The 20766-nt window shown below is 55.5% G+C and overlaps 1 protein-coding gene across 1 annotated transcript, besides 3 other annotated features; it reads right to left on the bottom strand.

Moving 5' to 3' along the window:
* Nucleotides 9802-10377: an enhancer, noted in NCBI's record as "H3K4me1 hESC enhancer chr2:121114094-121114669 (GRCh37/hg19 assembly coordinates)". NCBI's record gives its function as "activates a minimal SCP1, AML or CMV promoter by ChIP-STARR-seq in naive and primed H9 embryonic stem cells {active_cell/tissue: H9 hESC(naive and primed)}" and the evidence as "EXISTENCE:reporter gene assay evidence [ECO:0000049][PMID:30033119]".
* Nucleotides 12907-13608: an enhancer, noted in NCBI's record as "H3K4me1 hESC enhancer chr2:121110863-121111564 (GRCh37/hg19 assembly coordinates)". NCBI's record gives its function as "activates a minimal SCP1, AML or CMV promoter by ChIP-STARR-seq in naive H9 embryonic stem cells {active_cell/tissue: H9 hESC(naive)}" and the evidence as "EXISTENCE:reporter gene assay evidence [ECO:0000049][PMID:30033119]".
* Nucleotides 13609-14312: an enhancer, noted in NCBI's record as "H3K4me1 hESC enhancer chr2:121110159-121110862 (GRCh37/hg19 assembly coordinates)". NCBI's record gives its function as "activates a minimal SCP1, AML or CMV promoter by ChIP-STARR-seq in naive H9 embryonic stem cells {active_cell/tissue: H9 hESC(naive)}" and the evidence as "EXISTENCE:reporter gene assay evidence [ECO:0000049][PMID:30033119]".
* INHBB (inhibin subunit beta B) lies at nt 15092-20759 on the bottom strand. The gene is made up of 2 exons (NM_002193.4): nt 20259-20759; nt 15092-17796 (listed from the first exon to the last, which is right to left on the bottom strand). Exons 1-2 carry the CDS (start codon nt 20704-20706, stop codon nt 17021-17023), a joined length of 1224 nt encoding a protein of 407 aa, NP_002184.2. The 5' UTR covers nt 20707-20759; the 3' UTR covers nt 15092-17020.
* Nucleotides 20760-20766: the final 7 nt, after the last annotated feature.

The following is a 20766-nucleotide window of genomic DNA, read 5'->3' as shown; positions in this document are numbered from 1 at the left end:
CAAGCGTGCACACACACACATGCACACACGCATACACACATGAGCATGCACACACGCACATGCCAGCCTCCACTCATGGGAACTAGCCCCGCAGGTGTCCGGGAGTTCTGGCCCATAGACGGCTCTGTATCCTCTTTCATGAGAAATGAGGCCATGGGGAGGAAGCAATGGGACAAGACCTGTAAACCCACTTCATGACCTAATGGAGACTGTCCCCCATCTCCCAGCCCCAAGGACAAGAGGCCTAAGACGGCAAAGACAAAGAGCCCCAGCTGATTCTGTGGCATGGCTCCAGGGCAGCCTGGGCAGGGAAGGTCAGGGCTGTGCAGGTAGGTCCCACATGTCACCCTGGAGGGCAGCAACACAGCCTCCCACATTCAGCCCTTGGAGGTTAGCCATTCAGTTCTGGCCTGCCCCAGAGACCCTGGTCAGTCTCCTGCTTGGACCTCCCTATCGCCCCTCCATAGCACAGCCCACAGCTATGTGGCCCTGAGCCTGCCTGCCCCTCGCTGCCCTGCCTGTCTGTCTTTGGAGTCCAGCTAAGTCTGGGCTCTTCTGCACATCTCCACACCACCTGGACATTGCAGGAGCCTCTGGCTGGGCTCGCTGCCCCTCTCTCCCCCTGCCAAGGTCCATTCCCTACACAGCAGCCAGGGGATCCCTTGAAAGAATAAGTCAGATTCCCACACCCTTGCCAAAGTCCCCTCAGTGTTCCTCCCCACAAAGGCCGCTGCCCCTGTGACCTGTGACAGTTGTGTCCTCTCCTAGATCACCCCAGCTTGACTCTACCAGGCTTCTGCAGTTTCTCCACTAGAGAAGCCCTTTACTACCTCAGGGCCTTTGCACATGCTGTCCCCTCTGTCTGGAATGCCTGACCCAGCCCACCCTGACACAGCCACTTCTATAATCAGCTCCTTCTTTAGCACTCAGCTGAATTGTTCCCTCTGAAGCTCGGCGTTCCCCACTACCCCATCTGAAGCAGGCCTCCCTGACTGCAGCGTCGATTTACTTGTCCGTATCTGTCACTCTCACTAGATAATGAGCTCTGTAAGAACAGGAACTATGTCTGCTTCATCAGCCACTATGGACCCAGTCCCTACTACAGAACGGACACCTTGTAGACATTCAGTAAGGAGCTGTGGAATGAACAGAGGGTCTCACAGATGAACACAGACACGAAGTCACAAATGGGAAGCCAGCACTGGAGTCAGCTCTGCCTGTCCCAGCCCCCTTGGCCACCTGCTCACTGCTCATGGGAATAAGAGTCCACAGTGCTGAGTGCTGCCACGGGCCACCCGCCACCCTCGGATCGCCTTGTCAATCTACACACTGTTCCTGTGACGTGGGAGCTATTATTAGCCCACTTTGCTGATGGGAAAAAAGAGGCACCTCTGTCACAGAAGAGCAACCCTTAGCAGAGGAAGGAGTCCCCGTAGCCCCCGGCAGCCACAGAGCAGGCCAAGGCACAGAGGCACAGGGGGGACCAAGGGGCTAGAGAAGAGTGACCCTGGCTGGCCAACCTCTGTGTTGCAGACCACGGCTTGAAGCCAGAATGAGGCTGGCCGCACAGAAGTCTCAGGGACCCCCAAGGACGGCTGAGAGTCAGGGACCTCCGTGCAGCTCTGAGAGAGCCATTGCAGGGCTCAGGGCAGAGCCAATTGGCTGCAAACTGCCTGGTGCCCTCAGGTAAGCCCCAGTGGTTTGCACTTTCCAAGTGCCCAGGGCACAGAAGTCCTGACCGGCAAGTCTCTCCCCAGAGCCCACACCCCAGTTGGTGGTCACCTCAGGGAAGACTTTTCAAAGAGGTCACACTACTCAAAGTATGGTTCTCCCAGCATCTCTGCTTCCCCTGGGAGCTTGTTAGAAATGTTCTCTCCAGCCCAGCCCAGACCCACAAAGCCTTAATCTGCTTTAGCAAGACACCCAGGGCTTCTGTGTCACAGTCAAGCTTGAAAATCTCCAGCCTGCTTGTCCAGGCACCTCTCCTCACCATTATAGTACCATTCCTGGCGGTCAGCAAGCATACCCATCAATGGTGCAATTGACAAAGATGGTCACTGCAGCGTTGTTTATCAAGGGCAAAAACTGGAAATATCCTAAATATCCAACAATAAGGAGAAAGGGTCCTAAATTAAAAGACAGCCACCAAAATGCTCTTTTTGAAGAATGACGGCACAGGGGCAGCGCTCATACTGTAATATTATATGGAGAAGACAAGCGTAGCAGCGCACACACAGTCACGTACGGCAGTCGCACACGTGTGCAAATTCACCAACATGTTAACTGTGGGCACCTTATGGTTGCTGGGATTATGGGTGATTTTTTGTTTCCTTTTACTTTCCTGGGTTTTCCTAATTCTCTCCATGGATATGCCTTACAATCATGATAGTGAAGCCACCAATGAATGATATTCTTATTTAAAAATGAAAATGTGAGTGTCCCTTTAAACAGATGCTCACATTCAATTCATCCGCTGAAGGGCCTTGCAAATGAGGTTTCAGACGCTTCCCAAGGCCTTGAGGTGGGAGAGTGGGAGGAGGGGATGTGTCGTGAAGCAGGTATGAGGGGCAGGGGCAGCACAGGCACCTCCCAGAGGCCTGGCTTGGGGGGACATTTGGGGAGTGGGGGGCACTGCAGGTCAAGGCCACATGCTCTGGGCCTTTGCCGCAGCTGTGTCCACTTCCGAAAATACCTTTCCCTCTGCCCTTCTTTTCTGACCAACTCCCATCTGTCCTGCAAGATTTGGCTCAGGGACCACCTCTTCCAGGAAGACCTCTCAGATACCCCCACCCCCAGAACACTGGGCTCCCGCAATAACCTCTTGGGCGCCCTACAAAGAACTGTGAACATGTGATGGAAGATGTTTCAGACACGCGTCATGGCTTTGTCTAGCACACAGGACCCCTCAGTCACCAGCCCCTGAGAGGACCACAGTTCTCGTCCTATTCCCCACTCACCTGGGCACCCCTGCCGTGTGTGTCCACTGATGTTCCTGCAGCTACCGGCTCTGGCCTGGGCACTGCCCTCTCCTCTGGGTTCTACCCATCAGTTACAAAGGGCCGACATGCAAGGCCCAAGCAGAGCAGTTTCAGAAAAACATTTAGGGAAAAAAGCCAAGTGTTCCTGGCAGGCCCTGGTGCCCTCCTGACCCCCACATCAGCCCTTGGGTCTCAGAGCCCCAATTGGCAAGGCCCCAGGCTCCAGACCTGTCCAGATCCCCCCAAGCCCCTCGGTCTGAAGCCTGGCAGCAATCCAAGGCTGGGCAGGCACTCATGGTGCCCAGGTCTCACTGAACAGCTGTGTAAGAATGAAATGAGATGAGAGAGTGCCTGTTCCATGCGTGGCCAAGAGAACACGCTCAAAGTCCTGCTTCACACTCGCTGTGGGCCTGCAAGGGAAAGGTGGTGGCCATTCTAGATGTGGCCCACGTGAGTCTCTGAGTCCTGAGGACTGTACCCAACCAGGTGAGCTGGCCAGACTGCTCTTTGAGGTGGCCCAGCCTTAGGCCAGGGCCTAACATCATAGCTGAGCATGTCAACCTTTTCTGGAGAGGCTCCTGAGGCAGCCTACTCTCTCAGGGACCATCCTGGGCACCGTTTTTAAGGTTTCTGGGGTGGTTATGACACCTGCCTCCAGCTCTGCCTCAGGTGAGGCCTGGCATCTCAGGGAAGAGGTCACACACACCCACTCACTCACAGAGGAACCTCATGGGCTGGGGAAGGTGAGGGAGCTCTGGAGCACCCCACCCTGGAGAAGGGATGAGGACCGTGGGGCTAGAGGACATGGATGGCGGCCGCCAGTGAGGCTGGAGACGGGGCTGCCCGCGGGGGAAGGCGCTTCTGCTGCTGCGTTTTATGGTGTTTTTAAAATTTTTAGTTGTGGTAAAACATACCTAACATAAAATTTACCATCTTAACCATTTCTGAGTGTATTCTTCAGTTGCATTAAACACATTTACATCGTCGTGCAACCATCACCACCATCTTGCTTCAGAATTTTTTCATGTTCCCAAAACTGAAATTCTGTACCATTAAAATCAACTCTGCATTCCCCTGCCCACACCCCCGGCAACCGTCATTCTACTTTGCATCTCTGTGAATCTCACTACTCCACGTTGACTTCCTTACACAAGTGGAATCATGCAGTTTGCCTTTTTGTGACTGGCTTGTTTCACTCAATATAATGTCCTCAGGGGTCATGCATGTTGTAGCAGTTGACAGAATGCCTTCCATTTGAAGGCGGAATCATATTCTGTTGTATGGAGATGCCACGTTTGTTTATTCGTTCACCTGCTGAGGGACACTGTGTTCAAAGGTGTTGCTTCTACCTTTTGGTTACGTGAAGAATGCTGCTACGCACATCAGCGTACAAATCTCTCTCCAAGGCTCTTCTTTCAGTTTTGGGGGGATATATACCTAGAAGTGGAATTGCCGGATCACATAGTAATACCTTTTTTAATTTTTTGAGGAACTTCCATACTGTTTTCCACAAGGACTGTACCATTTTGCACTCCCACCAGCAAGGCAGAAGGGTCCCAATTTCTCCACATCCTCACCAACAGTTGTTACTGTCTATGTTTTTGATAGTAGCCAACCCTAAGGGGTGTAAGGTGGTATTGCTGGTCTTTGTTTGTTTGTTTGTTTGTTCTGAGACGGAATCTTGCTCTGTCGCCCAGGCTGGAGCGCAGTGGCCCTATCTCGGCTCACTGTAAGCTCTGCCTCCCGGGTTCACGCCATTCTCCTGCCTCAGCCTCCCGAGTAGCTGGGACTACAGGCGCCTGCCACCACGCCAGGCTAATTTTTTGTATTTTTAGTAGAGATGGGGTTTCACTATGTTAGCCAGGATGGTCTCGATCTCTTGACCTCGTGATCCTCCCGCCTCGGCATCCCAAAGTGCTGGGATTACAGGCATAAGCCACAGTGCCCGGCCGGTATTGCTGGTCTTAATGCCCATCTGTTTCCCTTATTTATTTAGTCCTGTCCTGTGCTGGGCATGAGAAGGGCTCTGAAGAATCACAGAGTGCCACCCTCAGCCTTCCAGATCCTCACTCTCTAAATGTCTTCAACAGACTCACTGATAATGCATTTTGATGTTCAGGAAACTGTGATGGTCTTGGTCAGGGCCACAGGTGAACCCGTCAGCTGAGGAGGGTCATGGAAGCAGCATGGCCACCCAGGAGAGAGTCCCAGGAGGAGGACAGAAGGGGAGCAGTGGTGGTCTGCTGGGACATCTGCCAGCCAAGGAAGCCTCTGGATCAGTGGCCAGCAAACTTCTTCTGCAAAGGGTCAGCCAAAGTCCCTAAAGGCCTTGCAGGCCATATGGGTCCCTGTCCTAACTAACGTATAAATGAATGAGGTCACTGCATCCCAATAAAACTGTATGTATAGGCATTTAGTTTGAATGTCATATCATTTTCACATCATGCAATATTCTTCTTCTTTTGATTTGTTTTTAACCATTTAAAAATGTAAAAAACTATTCTTAGCTTGTGGACTTGGCCTGCAAACTCTGTTCCAGAATCAACGGCAGTGACACTCTGAGAGCTTAGGTCCCTGAGCAGCTCACAGGGACAGGCGTTCCTCGAGCTCTCTGCAGCCTGATTGCCTCCATGGGGTCAGCATCCTCGGGCGACCTGGTTCCATGATGGAACCTGAGTGCCTTCAACGCATAAGCACTGCTCACCAATCTGTGTCTGGCTCTGCGGCTCTGGTGTCGGCAGACAGAATCCATGCGCACCCGCTGATGCAGAAGGATCTTTGGGCCAAAGATAGGGAATAAGATGACATGAACTCCGGAGGAATCAGTGCTGTCGGCTTGCTTCACTATTTCCTAAAACAACTCCGGAGCCCTGTCTCAGCTTTGTCCTGGAAGGAGGATCACAGTCACTCTGGTGGCCCTGAGAGGACAGGCGGGAGGAGAGAGAGGGTGCACCCCCTCCCTCCCTGGGGCGAGCCCACCTCACAAGGTCAGCAGGGTACAGACCCCAAAGACCAGGGCTGGGGACTCAGCATGTGACCCAGGACGCAGGGGATTTAATTCTAGCCCCTCCCTGCCATGCTGTGTGACCCTGGGCAAGTCGCTTCCTCTGTGTGCACCTGAGTTTCTTCATCTGTGGAACAGAAATGCCAACAGCTCCCAGAGCTGTGTGGGTCAGGTGGATTAAAACACGTAAAGAGCTTAGAAAGATTCTTGGCACATGGTGAGCACTGACTCAGTAGTAGCTGTGGGTATTATTAGTTCATCTAATCTGAACAACAAACCCAGGAGGTGAATACTATTTTTAGCTCCATTGTATGATGAGCGAACTCAGGCACAGAAAAGTTAAGTCACCAGCCTTAAGGCCCACAGCTAGGACAGGGTGGGGTCTGCAGAGCCATGTCTGGTCCATGGGCAGACCCACCCTCTTAGACCCTGGCCTGTGCACCCTCTTGGGAAGCCATAGAGCAGGCCCAGGAGCAGGGAGCCCGGGCCCGGGACAGACCCTGCAGGAAGGTGCCTGAAGGTCATCCAGCAGAGGCCTATTTCCCCCAGGAAGCCCTCCTGGTGACCACCTCTCATCCTCTAGAGCCAAGTTCACACTCATGTGGACCACATGCCAGGTGAGGATGACACCTGGGGGTTCCGCCTCTGCTTAGGAGGGGCCCCGTAGTCCTGTGCCCGTTAGCTGTGGGCCCTCAGGCAAGTCTCCTCTCTGGGCCTCAGTTTCCCCACCTAGAGAAAAGAGGTGAGATGGGCTTCTCCATAGTTCTCAGATCTAACCAGCCTGTGAAAGGTCTTCCACTTTCACCCCACCCCCAAAGCCACTAAACCTCGGAGTGTCTGCCTTCCCACAACTCATCGATGACAGGACAGAAGCTTTCTTTTTAAACTTTTACCCAGAAGAGCCCCCCTGCTGGCGAGACCACCACCCTTTCCAAATCTCGCTGTGCTGGCCACCACCCCCTACCTACCTGGGACAGGTGCCAGGCCCTGGGCAGTGAGGGACCATCCTGGACTGGAGCTCAGAAGAGGGGAAATGCTGTGTGGAAGCCAACAGTCTGTCCCACCACCATGGCTGGAGTCACCACCCCAGCCACCAAGGCCCACAGCATAATCCTGTAGGTGCGGGCCAGTGAGCACACCGAGGTCTCGCCTGGGACCTGAAGTTGACATGATGCCAGCTCAGGACAACTGGCCACTCCTGATGCCCTCCCAGGCCGGCAGAAGCCCAGCCTCTCCTACAGGAATGACCAGCAGCCACAGCACAAATCCTTATGGGCTGCAGATAACTGTCCTCAGAGGGAAAGGGATGCTGCCTTCTGTGTAGGGAACAGACTCTGTGCCTACTAGAGAAATGAATGAACAAATAAATGAACCCTCTAGTCCAACCCACTCACTTTTCAAACGAGAAAACTATAGGCCAGAGAGGGTGAAAAACTTGCCTGAGATCACACAACCACTGAGGGGCAGGGCCTGGGTACAGCCAGCCACCAGCAAGCATCTCTTGAGCACCTGCTGTGTGCCAGCTACTGATCCCAGTGCTGGCATAGAGCAATGCACAAGCAGGCCCAGCCCCTGCCCCCATGGAGCTCACAGCCTTGCTCCTAACCAGAGTCCAGGCCCCGGACGCCCAGTCCAAGGTGCTTTTTCGCCCCGCAGTAGCAAAGAGGCCCCGCTCAGATACTCTGGGCAAGGCGGTGAGCAGCACGGGGTGGCAGGCTGGCTCGTGGAGCTGACTCGAGGCTTGTGTACTTTCCACTCCTTCTCCGGCATGGTTGGAGATTAATTATTAATGCTGAAATAATTGGCATTCATTAATGCGCCCATCATTCACGGGGGAGTGGGGCCCCGCGTTAACCAATGCATCAGTCGGCGATTGATTAATTAAGCTGAGCTTCTATGAGACACCCTCGGGTGACAAACCACACTCTCCTGAAGGTGGAAGATGCCGGCGGGAAGGGCTGCCTTCCTTGAGGTGCAGGGAGGAAGCGGGAAGGCTGATCTTCCCTGGTGCCCGGGCCCAGCTTGCCACCCGTTTGGATTGGCATTGCCTTTGCCTGCGGCACGGATGAGGCTGAGCTTCACCATGAAGCGCAAACGCTGGCGCAAATTATAGGCTTTTGAAAATGCTATTACATGAATCACCTGCGGGGCATGAGGTGCTCCTAAAAGAAAGAAAAATAGCAAAGGCGTGGTCGAGAGTGCTGGCTTTGGTCTTAGCCAGGGCTGAGCCTCTCCCTGGGTCCTGCTGACCCCCTCAGCCTCAGTTGCTCCAGCAGGAAAATGGGTGAGGGGTGTTAACTTCTCACCCTGAGATGGATGTGCCTTCGTTCATTGAATAAGTGTGTATTGACATGGACATAAACACAGAACAACACACACTGAGGATGACCAGCGTCGGGGGAGCAGGGGGCGGTGTGGGGGAGTGGGCTGAAAAACTGCCTATTGGTGACCACACTCACTACCTGCAAACGCCCATGGAACAAATCTGCACGTGTCTCGCACCCCCCAACCCCAGATCTAAAGTAATACAAAAAGATCTAAGACTTTAAAACTATAAAAGCAGAAACAAATTTTTAAAATTTGTATTGAGCACTTCATCTGCCCCAGTCTCAGGAGACTGGTGTGGTGAGCAACACAGACTCTAGCTCCCCTAAAATCCAGGCCTGCAGACTCTCAGGGGAGCGGGTGTGCACACCGCAAGTGATCTTGCAGGCAAGACAGGAGACGGGTTCCACGAGCTGTGGGAGTCAGGGCTTCTAGCCCAGAGCCCTGAAGGATAAATCACAATCAGCCAAGCAAAGGTGGGGGAAAGGAGTTCAGGGAAAGGAAGGGCATTTGAAAGGTGCAGAGGTGGAGGATGGTGAGCTGTGGGTGGGACCCGATGCCCAAGCCTGGTTTTCAGGAGGAGGGATCCACCAGCTCCAAGTGGGGAGGTAAGCAGGGCCGGGGGCCGTGGGCAGCCCAGGGGACATCAGACTCCTTCTTCCCAGGTGCATGGATGAGAGGGACAGGGTCACTGACAGCATGACCCGGAAGGGGCAGGAGAATGCCACAGGCATGTTTTGGAAAAGGATCTTCTGCGATCCCCCAGCTGCAGTGCAGCCCAGAGCAGGACCTGGGCTGTGCCCCTTCCACGCTCCCATTCCCAGCCATTCTAATAGGCACGACTTGCCTAAAAAGCGTCTGAGGCATCATCCTTCCCAGGAGTAAAGCAAGTAAAGCAGGTGAAGGAGTAAGGTTCCCAAAAGAACCGGTTTCTACAACTTCAGGCCATCACGGTTGAGGGCTGGGGGTCAGGCTATTTGTGCTGAGAGGGTCACTGAAACCCCTCCCTAGAAGAGCAAGGCCACTCAGGGCCCCTCCCAGGCAGGGAGAGCTGTCGCAGAGTGGGGTTAAGCTCTGCGGCCCTGCCAGGAGAGTCGCCCGCCAGGAGCTTCCCATGCAAATGTGGATAATAGTTCTAACTTATCTCCCTTCTGTGGTTCCTGTGAGGAGTGAGAGGACACCCAGAAAGCCCCTCGAAGGCTGGACAAGCTCACAACGCTTTTCTGAGGGCCTGGAGTGGTTCCCCACTGGGTATGTGACTTTCCCATTGGCCTCAAAACTGGGTTGTGAGCTCAAGAAGAGCCAGCGCTGTTTCCATGAGACCGGGAGCTGCCTAGGAGAATCCTCCAGATCCACACACACACACACACCCACTGACACACACACACACACACACACACACACACACACACACACAGGTGCCCAGGGTGGCCAGGAAGAGTCTCCCTCCCTGCCTGACCCTGGCCCCTGGGGACCCTGGGGCCTGACTTGTGCTCCACACACAGACCCCACAGGAAGAGGTGGGGAGGGGGCTGAGCAGGCAAACCAAGCCCCCATCATTCCAGGCAAGGGCTGGAACTGGCACTGGGAAACCCACCCCACCCCATGCCTCACCTCTGTCCCTGGGGCTGGGCAGAGCAGACCCCGGGAGCAGAGGTGGGATGGAAGGTATAAGGAAAGAGGGAGATGAGACGCCAGAAGAAAAGAGGGCAGAACAAGACCCTGCTCTGCACAGGAGGGGAGGCGCAGGCAGCCTGGCACGTCCAGCTGCCCATCTGCCTCTGCCTCCCGAGCGAAGACCGCTGTCCCCACCCTGGCAGCCCCTCCCCCAGAGGAGAGAAGGTCACGAGAAGCTCCTCCCTGGGAGGGAGTAGTTGGTTCATTCCACAATGCCTGTCTCCGCCCCACTCCCCTACTCCTCCCCACACATGGTTATGTATCCCAAGTAGTCCAAAAACCCTTCCCTGAAATCCCACTTGAAAATGTGGTCAGTGTTTTTCTCAGACACTCAGAGGGTCCTCACCCTCATCAGATTCCCTGCAGGTCTGCCATGACCTCAGACAGTTCCCTCTTCCTGCTGGCAGAATGGCCATTCTCACCTGGTGGGACCTGCAGGTGTGCACACCTGATTCTGAAGGTAGCCAGACCCTCAGGGGCCCCTATGGGGATGGGGTAGGAGGAGAGCTGCAGGGCAGCTGAGGGGCTCTGAAAGGCTCCCCCCAGGGCAACCCCAGCAGCTCCCAGGTCCCCTCTGCCATGACAGCAGCTCTCTCTCCTACCCCAAGTCCCCCAGGGTTCAGGGAACCACGAGTTTCTTGGAAACATTGAAGGGAGAGAAGGCAGTATCTGGAGGGCCTGCTCCTCTGAGGGCCTAGGGTGGCTCCCCTCTGGGTACGTGACTTTCCCAGTGGCCTCAAAACTGGGTTGCGAGCTCAAGAAGAGCCAGGCCCGGGTCTTCCCCTCGAATAGCTATGAGGCCTCAAGCAAGATACTCAACTTCCCTGAGCCTCAACTTCCTCATCAGTAAAATGGGTACATCTCACCTGCCCAAGAGGGAGATTATAGAGATTAACTACAAAGCTGCTGCAAAGCGCTGTATCTGACCACAGTAAACAATAAATGGTAGTCAACATCATCATCGCTGCACCTCTGTGAATATTCATTGAATGAATAGCTGAGAATGAAAGAGGGCCTCTCAGAGGAAGGGCAGGGCTCTGGCTGGGCACCCAGCACTATTCCTGACACAGAGAATGTGCCAGAAAACAGCAAAACAACTCAAGAGCATGGCCCTTCTAACCAGGTGAATGCTAACAACCCCCTTAAGGTAGGCACTGTCATTGCTCCATTTTACAGAGGATGACTCTGAGAGGCTGGACCAGGCTACGATCGCAAAGCCAGGGAGGCCGACCCACAGCCCATGCTCCCAGTGACTAGTCACAATGACAGTTGTTCAGCCCCCACCCCCCAACCCTGGGTGCAGCAGCCATCTCATCCACCTGGCCAGAGATGGTGCATGGACGGCTGGGTGTTTGGCTTCCCCACAGCCGCAGAGAAGAACGTCTCAGTGCACAGTTGCCACTGATGCCTGAGGCCAGAGCCAAGGGCAGGAGTTGGGGAGCAGGCCCCTCCCAAAAGAACGCTGAGAACACCCGGGACCGCAGCCTCCCCTGTCTTCCAGGTAGACCCCAGAACAGCTGCCCCTCCCCTTATCCCTCCTCCTGGGCAGCCCGGGGGCTGTGAGTGACTCTGGAAACAGCTGGCTGGGGACAAGTCCTAGAGCTGCGCAACCTTCAGTGAACGGCTGCCTTGCTCTCGGCCTTTGTTTTCTCATTTACACAATGGGGATAATGATACCTGCTCCCCCACCTCCAGGTTGTTGTGAGCACTACACTGAGATGAGGGATGAAGCCCTGCACATAACAGCAGGCACCGTGGGAATGTTTGTTGAGTGACTGAATGACTGACCAGATGGTACCTTTCTCCCTTTAAAGTGCTCTGGCTTTGAGGTGACCCCTAGCACACTGTGTAGACAGAGCAGAGCATCAGGTACTGTGAAACCATACTGAGGACAACTGCACAGACCACAGAAATAGTGCCTGCACCAGACCTTCTCAGGATCTGCCGGGTTTGAGGGTGATCACAGATTCTAACTGCAAGATGATAACTACCCCAATCACAACGTACATAACTGGCTAGGTGCATCACCTCTCCGTAAGGAAGAAAACGAACATGGCAAGACACGCACACAGCCAGCCATGCAACCACACCCCTACAATCACAGTCTCAAACCCCACACACAGTCTCACACACTCACCCACGCAGCCTCACAACCTCAAGGCCAGCCAACCGTACACTACAAACTCACAGCCAACCGCGCACGCCCACGATCACAGTCTCAAGCCCCACGTGGCTCAGCATACACAGTAACACCTACAATCACAAAACAGTGCATCACCAACACTCACACACCCACGATACCCAGGCCACACCCATGAGCAGCAACGCCCACCTCACACACGCACAGCCTCACACACCAGTGACTGCCCGCCCACAGTCCCCACACGACACAGAGCCCCCACAGCCACCATGCTCACACTCCACGCCTCATCTACAGCCAACCACCATCAGCAGGTCTTTCAAAGCCTACCCCGTTAATTTGTCATTTGCTCCCATCGAAAGCCTAGAAACAGGGCTGGGGGCGCTCCCAGGGCCTCTCCCCGCAGAACGGTGTTTGAGTTCTACTTTTTGCCTGCAAAGCCACACTTTCTTAAGCCCTCAGCAGTTTTCATGGCTTGGTGGCCACCTGTGACCTCCCACCCCCATTCCTATCCTCGCTCTTGGTCCTCAAGGGAGCTCTAGGCAGCTGCAGGATTCTCCAAGTTGTGATGGCCTACAAGTCCCTTGCGGCGGGTCTGGGCAGGCGTGATGCTGGGCTGGCCTGAGCTCCAGGTGAGTCAGGAGCCCGGCCACAGCGCAAGAGGCTGCAGGGACACCATGGCCTGGAGCTCTGGTAAAGCCCGAGGCAATAGTATCACGCCATGTCACAGGTAACAGGTATAAAGCTCGGACACCTAGTAGCCCCTCCTAAATGCTGGCCCCACCTCTGGGCTGCGCCACAGGGCACCCTGTGTGCCCCACTCTAAGCCAGACCCTGGGAGGGAGGGCTGGGAGAGAAAACACAGACAGAGCATACAGTTGGAGCCTCCAAGTACTGAGCCCCTCAGCCGCCTGTCTGGGAAATGGGGGGAGCAGAGGTGAGGCAGGTGTGGGTGCTGTCCTGACCCCAGTGCCCCAGCCCAGGCCATGGGCTCCACTGAGTCGCTGAGGACTTGGGGCATGTTTGAAGGCCAGGGTGACCCCCGCATGGTGGGATCCCAGGCATGGTGGTAGATAGGTGGGGGAGGCATTTGAGGTGGGTGGGGATGGCGGCCTTCCGGCTCAGGCAGGCCCTTCCTGTCCCACTGGTCCCAGGTGGGGCTGGGGATGAGTATGAGAAGCCAGCAGCCTGGAAGCCGGAAGAGGCAGGGAGGGCTGGAGGGAAGAAGGGCTGGGGACCTTGAAGTCCAGCAGCGGGGAGTCCAGCCAGAGGAACTGGACCTGGGGGCAGAGCTGGGCTCCAGGGACATTTTCAGAGAAAGGCAGGGCCGTTGGGCCGGGCCACTGGGGATATAAGAAGAGCAGACGGGAGAGGCTGGAGCATCGAGTGGGGGGAAGCAGAGCAAGGGGAGCGGTGACCACAGCAGCACAGGAGGCTGCAGGGCCCTGCTGGAGAGGGGACACCCAGCTGGGACAGGAGACCAGTGCCTGTCCTCACTGCCTCTCTCAGCAACAGGAACTGCTGCCCACCAGTGCCCCCGGGGGCCAGACCCCACAGGGACAGGAGCCAGCATAGGGCAGCAAAGTCACTCAGGGACCAGGTCAGCCAGCCCCAAGGCCTTGTGCCCCTGGGGTCCCCAGGCCCTTCCTGGGGCTACTCATGGGGCCATCCTGGGATGCTCAGTCCAGAAGGGCTTTGGTAGGTGCTCAATGTCCAAACAGCAGAAGCAACTCAGTGGCTCACATCGCACCTCCTGGCCGCTACCTGAAAAAAGTCCCAGGGCAGCGGGGAGGCAGGGCTGGGCTGAGGGCCTAGTGCCACCAGCAGCTAGGCCCAGCCCCCCGCAGAGCAGAGGGCAGAGACGTCGTGACTCACTGCCTGAAATGCACAGGCCAGACCTGTCTTTATGACACTTTCTTCTTTGCCCCTGTGAATTACAGTAATACTGTCTCACAACTTCACAGATGACCAGTCTTCCCCTCGGGCTGAAAGCCTGGCAGGGCAGTAGCTCCCTTGGTTGGGCAAAGAATGGAAAAAGAAAAGGCTAGAAGGCTGCCTCCTGCCACCAGCTGGCTGTGCTGATTGAGCTATACCCCTCTAGCTGTCTGGGCCTCCCTCGGTTTCCCACTACCTTGATGAGGTTACATGCTCTCTAAAGTGCCATGTGCTCTGGGAAGACCACATGCTACCCAAACCCCAGGGCGGAGCCCCAGCAGCCCTGCAGGGCCTCAGACAAAGGCAAGGGCACAGGGCTGCAGTCCTCCAAGGAAACGGGTGGGCTCAAACACCAGGGTCCCTGTCCTGGATGTCTGACCTCAGGCAGGCTCTGAACTCTCTAAGCCTCAGATTTTCAAACTCTGGGAAATGCAGACAAAGCCACTTTCCACAAAGATGCGATGCTGCATGGTAACAGCAGGACTCGGCGGGTATCCCAGTTACACCTGCGCAGTGGGCCATTATTACTACACCGCCCCTACCACCACTCTCCACCGGGAAAACCCCCTCAGGAAGGGCTCCTTCGTACACTCACAGCCTGACTCTGTTTACCCTTCTATCCCAAGATACCAAGCCACTTCTAGGTCCCAGTCACCTCCAAATAGAGGTGAGCAGAGGTTAGCTGGACTTCAGCCTTCAGGGTTTTACATTTCCACCTGGGGACGGGGGCTTACCCAGCACTTGCAAATGGTAATGGATGTGGCCTTGGTGAAACATAATCAATCTTGGGACTAGCAGGATAAACAAATGTGTAATTCATGAATTTGCTAATTGTCCTTCATTTTGATCTTCAGCCATTTTTCCTGGAATCTCTGCCCGACATACATCTCATGGCAAGGACGCAGAGATGCCAGGAGCAGGCCGTGGAAGCTGCTGGCATCCAACCTGGACACCTGGACTGGCCTTCCTCCCAGCTGCCCACCTCCAGCCCAGGCCTCCCTGCCCCAGACATCACGCAAGGCAGGAGGCCCGTGGCACTCAATCTTTTATTTTCTTAAACTGTACACAAACGTACAATACTTTAACAGCAAGTCTATGGGAAAATTGTTTGGTTTTAAATTATTATGAAACAGAATCTAAGGGGAGCTTTATTAAATAAACATAAAGATGAGGATTTAAGGATACACACCTGCATTCTATCATAGTCATTTTTACTCTACCTTCTGGGTGTGTAAGGATGGAAAAGACACATCAAACCGAATAAACAAAATCCATTCATACCCTGAAACGTTGGCAGGCCACTCAAGGGACTGCTCAGAACGTCCACCTCATCTCAGATGGCCTCACCGTCTAATAAAATTAAAACTGATCTGTTGGCCTCTTTGGTTCCAAAATTATGTATAATACATTTAACTGTATTCTTTTTTTTTTTTTTTTGCTGCTATAAAAATAACTTTTTTTCAAATGGCAGTTTCTGACTAATCATGCAACTAAATCAGTGCAAACATTAAAAGCAATCATTCGCTTAAAAAAGAAGCAAAGGATTTCATTTCAAGTATAAAAAATATAAAAAGAGTCGTACGAGTCCAGTTTCGTCTAGTGTGGGTCAACCCTTTAAATTGCATAGTTCACGTGGCACTTGGACATCTAGAGGGCGAGCGAGTTCGGCGCTCGGCCAAGGGCCACTTCTGGACACACGCAGATCGGCAAGTGCTATGTCATGTGCGTTCAGGCAGGTCTGCAAGTGCTATGCGGGCGGGCGGGCAGGCGGGCAGGTGAGTGGGCAGGGGCCACGTCCACGGCCAGCCCTGATGGCTGGGGCCCACATGGGCAACTTCTGCAAATCAGCTGAAAGCCTTCCCCATCTCTCCAAGACCAACTAGGCTGCTCCCCTCCCTTGGCCTCCGCTGAGGGGACACCCCCCATCCTCAGCAGTTCAAGAATGCCTCCTCCCCGCCATTTCCTCCTGCGGTCTCATCCCCTTGCCTAGGGGTCATTCCCACCCGTCCCCAAACCAGTCCTAGAGGAATGTCCCCAATGAAGGGCACAGATTGCAACTTTTTTTCTTTCCATTTAGAACAATTCAGATTTTCACTTAAAAGGTCATACCTGGTAGAAAAGTCCTTTTTCAGTTATACAACTGGCAAGGATGACCTGTCAACTGTTGGAGATCAGTTAAAGCATCAAATTTAGCCCCCTCTTCTCTCCCTCCCTCCCCACCCCAAAAACACACACACACATAAGTCATGTCAGAGGCCCAAGCCACAAACAGTCAAACGGTCATTGCCCCTGCTCCCAGGTCTCTGACGGGTTGTGTCCTTTCTGGGTCTCTTTCCCTCGACAAGGGCATGGAAGGACAGGCTCCCCAGGCCTTGAAGCACGAAGGATCCCAGGCTGGGGAAGAAGCAGACATCGAGCCAGGCAGAGCAGGCCTGGTAAAAGCCACGGGGCACACGCAGCCTCCGCCGAGCTGCGCTCCCCACCCCTGCATCTGCTTTTCCTCTCCGTGGCTCTCTCTCTCTCTCTGCGTCTCTGTCTTTGTGCTTTTATGTGTGCTCGGAAGGCGCAATTCAGAGTGGCCGGGCCAGCTGGTGGGAATGGTGGCTGCTCACCCCATTCTCTCCGACTGACAGGCATTTGTAGCTAAGCTGCCATTTGTCACCGCATCCATTTGCTGGTATCCTGGAGGCTGCTGTGTGGGTGGCAGGATGCGTCTGGCTGTGCGTGGCTACGTGTGCATTTTAAAGTATTTCATGTCAGTTGAGGGTTCTCGCTCTGGTTTTGACTGGTTGCTCTATGAAGCTGTAGAAAAATATCTCAGGCCGCACCCTGGCACTATCTCCACAGCCCAACAGAATGACTGTACTCAGCCCACCGTGTACCCCCGTTCCCGCGGGGGCTGGAAGAAGCCCACCCGGGACTGCCCTCCGTGCCCCACCACCGTGCCCCTGCCTTGCACTGTCAGGCGCAGCCGCACTCCTCCACAATCATGTTGGGCACGTCCCGCTTGACGATGTTGTACTCATCATCGAAGTACAGCATGGACATGGTGCTCAGCTTGGTGGGAATGCAGCAGGAGTTCACCGTGCCGGGGTTCAGACCCCGCATGCGGTACTGGTTCACCACAGCCGTGTGGAAGGAGGAGGCAGAGCCGGGGACCCCTGCCAGGTAGGCTGGGCAGCTGCCCTCACAGTAGTTCCCGTAGTAGCCGGTGGGTGCTATGATCCAGTCGTTCCAGCCGATGAGGCGGAAGTCAATGAAGAACTGTTGCCTGCAACAGAGGTTGGTCCGGCCATCGCACTCCAGGCCTCGCTTGCGAATGCGGTGCCTGCTGTCGCCCAGCCGAGCCTGCACCACCACAAAGGGCCGGTGCGACTCTTCGCCTGGGTCCACGAACACCGGCACCACGGCCAGCTCCTGGCAGCTGTCACACTGCACGTCTAGGTTGAGTCGCCGCTCGCCCCGCTCAAACAAGGCCTGGATGGCCTCCGTGAGTGGGAAGGTATGCCAGCCGCTGCGCTTGAGGTCCACCCTCTTCTCCACCATGTTCCACCTGTCACCGTGGCCCTGCTCCTGGAAGTACACTTTGACCCGCACCTTCCGCCGGCTGCCCTTCTCCAGGACGTAGGGCAGGAGTTTCAGGTAAAGCCACAGGCTGGCCTGGACCACAAACAGGTTCTGGTTGCCTTCGTTGGAGATGAAGAAGTATAGGCGGACCCGGGAGGAGGCGAGGCCATCTGCGGAAAAGGGGAAGGGCGAGCCAAGTTAATTCAAGGAGAACACAAGGCAATGGGGGAAACACACTCTCTGCTGCAGGATGCTGGAATGCAACTCGCCACACAGCTGGAAAACGTTACTGACCAGAAATACCATTCTTGGGGCCAGGGCCTCTGACTGTAACCTGGGAGAGGCAGAGAAAATCGTTTCTCATTGAGAAACCCGGACCAGGCTGGGGCTGGAGGGTCCGCGCCTATAAAATCCTGCCTCACCTCTCCCAGGCCAGGGCTCCCTGGAGACAGGCTGTCAGGCCTCAAAGCACAACAGAAGAACTTGTCAGGGGGCCAAGATCTTAACAAGTTGTTATGGGTATCTGTGAAATCTGAAAAACAAAACCAGGATCGCAGGGAGGATTTTGGGGTGGGTGGTTTTAGTAGGGCTTTTTTTTTTTTTTTTTTTTTTGGTTAACTTAGCGCATTGCAAAATCAAGCTGAGCCACCTACCGCCTCTTTCCAGTGTTTACCTAAGTATGATGTGATCCAACCCCCAGTGGAACCTCCACTGCAAACAAGCAGGCTCTGCTCAGGTTTCTGACATAGGAACGTGTGCTTTGCAGGCTGCAGAGCCTAGCCCTTATAGAATAGTTTCAAGGGACAGGACATTCAGCCTTAAAACTTGAGGTCCAATCCTTTGACAAGACTCTGGCTCCCTGTTAATGGCACGTTCAAAATCCCCAAGGAGTAGGGGAGCTGGCTAGTTAATTTTCTCAATAATTCAGCTCAACAAGAAGGAGGCTGTGCCAATCAAGAGATGACTCCCCTCTCATCCTACATTCCGGTGACCCTTGCCTCTGACAATCTACGTTTTTCTTTCCTTTTTTTTTTTTTTTTTTTTTTCAGGAAGAACAAATAATGAAACTCTGTGGTCAGGGCTGGTTTTATCAAACCTCCCACCATGCCCCTCCCAAGCCCCTACCTCAGGCCTCGCCTGGCTCCTCTAATAACACTGACATCTGACTTTGAAATGGGGGAAACTGCAGCCTTAAAAGCTGGTCTTGGACGAGCTGCCTGTGACCTGAATCTGTTATTTATAAGTCAAAGAGCTGGCTCCGTGAAACGGACCAGAAATATAACAGCCCCCGCTGTCATTTTGTGCCACCGGGACCAAAAGGCCTCCTCGACCTTCCAGAATCACATTTCTAACTCTGGGCCCCAAAGCACCTTTTAATCCGAGCCCTCTAATTGCATGGCGAGCTTTCCCTGACTCACTTTAGTGGACAGCTAAAACGGCAATGCATTTCTTTCTAAGCACAAACCAGCCCCGATTGTCTCTGCTTTTCTCCACACCCGGCCATGCAAAACTTTTCATCCCTTTTCATCCCCGGGCTGCCTGCTGCCTGGTGGGGTGGGGGGCATTTGCAGCCAGGGGCACAACCGCTCCCCCCACCGAGGCTCCCCGCTTGCCCCCGCCCTAACTGCACCGGGGCTTCCCCCTCTGCGACCTTCTCCGCAGTCCCCTCGGCACAAATGGGGCCGAGCTCCAGGCACAAAAGCCAGCCTGGCTCATTCAAGTCCTGAAAAGGACAGCGGAGTCGAAAGCACTTGCAGCATTTTGGCGCGGGCACATTTTTCTCCTTCTTTTAAAGTTCCGAAAGATTTTTCTCTCCCTGATTTTTATATTTAGACAGTGTTAGAGATTTGCAATCTGGGGCCGGGGGGGGGGGCGGATTCCAGAAAGGAGCCATACCCTTTGTTAACTACGACTCTGCCTCTCGGGCGAGGGGTCTGCTGCAGCTGCCAGGCAAGCCGAGAGGCACGGGGCTGTCCCCGAACCGCGGCTTTCTCTGTGTAAATGATGGACCTGTTGAGAAGCCTGCCTTCCGCCCGATTCCGGTGCCCACACAATCGGAAGAGAGGTTGCCTAGCTCTCCCCAGCGAGGCTTCAGCAATCCTGGCAAGCCCACGCCGCCGGTGATGGAAGCGGCCCCAGGGGCCTCTCACGCAGGCACACACACACACAGACACACACACAGATACACACACACTCTCTCTCTCCTCCGGCCCACGTATATCAACAAGCACACACATCTCCATCCACACTGCTAAGCCTACACTCCGATCGTGGGAAACAAAAACATTAAGCAATCACCAAGCAAGTGCCCGCAGAGCCAGGGCCGCGCGCATCTGCCGGGAGGGGGACGCGCGCCCAGAGGCGCTGGGGCCCGATTCCGGAGAGCAGGGGTGGAGGGCCAGGCGATCGGCGGCGGGGGGTTGAGGCAGCAGGCAAGGGTCTGCGGCCTGGGGGAAGAGGACTGCAACCCGGGCGGAGCGCGCAGGGCCACGGCCGAAGGAGCTCTGCCGGGAGTCCAGGCTGCCCCAGGGCGCGCGGGCTGCGGTGGCGGCGGTGGCAGCCGGAGCTAGCAAGGAGAGGGAGAGCGGGAGCGAGCGGGGACCGCGGCAGACAGCCGGAGGGCCGGACCCACCTGTCTCGGCGAAGCTGATGATTTCGGAAACGCGCTCCTGGCCGTCGGCGCCCGGGCTGGCGTGGCCGTCGAGGTGCGGGATCTCCACGCGGCCGTCCTCGCGCACCTTGCCCGCGTGCAGCTTGCGCAGGGCCGTGACCATGGCGGCCTTAGGCACGGCGTGCGTGATGTTGGGCCGGCCCCGCATCTGCAGGCGGCTCAAGATGTGCCGCTTCACCGCCTCCAGGAAGTCGCCGTCCACTCGGCCGAGCTCCTCTGGCCGCCGGAAGCCGCCGCACGACGTACAGGTGTCCTGCGAGCCACCCGGGGATCCGGGTGGCGGGGGTGGCGGCGGCGCGGCAGGCGTCGGCGGGGGCGTGGGTGAGCCCCAGGCCTCAGGCCCCAGCCAGCCGGCCGCCAGCAGCAGAAGGCAGGCGGCCCCCAGCGCCCGACCGGGCAGCCCGTCCATGGTGCGCCGCTGGCGACGAGGGCGCCCGCCGCGAGGCGAGCCGAGTCGAGCCGAGCGCAG

The sequence above is a fragment of the Homo sapiens genome, chromosome 2 (assembly GCF_000001405.40).
Source record: "Homo sapiens chromosome 2, GRCh38.p14 Primary Assembly".
NCBI classification, from domain to species: Eukaryota; Metazoa; Chordata; class Mammalia; order Primates; family Hominidae; genus Homo; species Homo sapiens.
Note: the sequence above shows the minus strand (reverse complement) of the source record. Positions and strands in the feature narration are given on the sequence as shown.

What these genes read in the sequence shown, in the direction of transcription:
- INHBB (NM_002193.4), bottom strand. Translation starts at nt 20,706, where the DNA reads ATGGACGGGCTGCCCGGTCGGGCGCTGGGGGCCGCCTGCCTTCTGCTG. An exon ending in CATCAGCTTCGCCGAGACAG is followed by an intron (nt 17,797 to 20,258) that starts GTGGGTCCGGCC and finishes CCTTTTCCGCAG; the next exon opens with ATGGCCTCGCCTCCTCCCGG.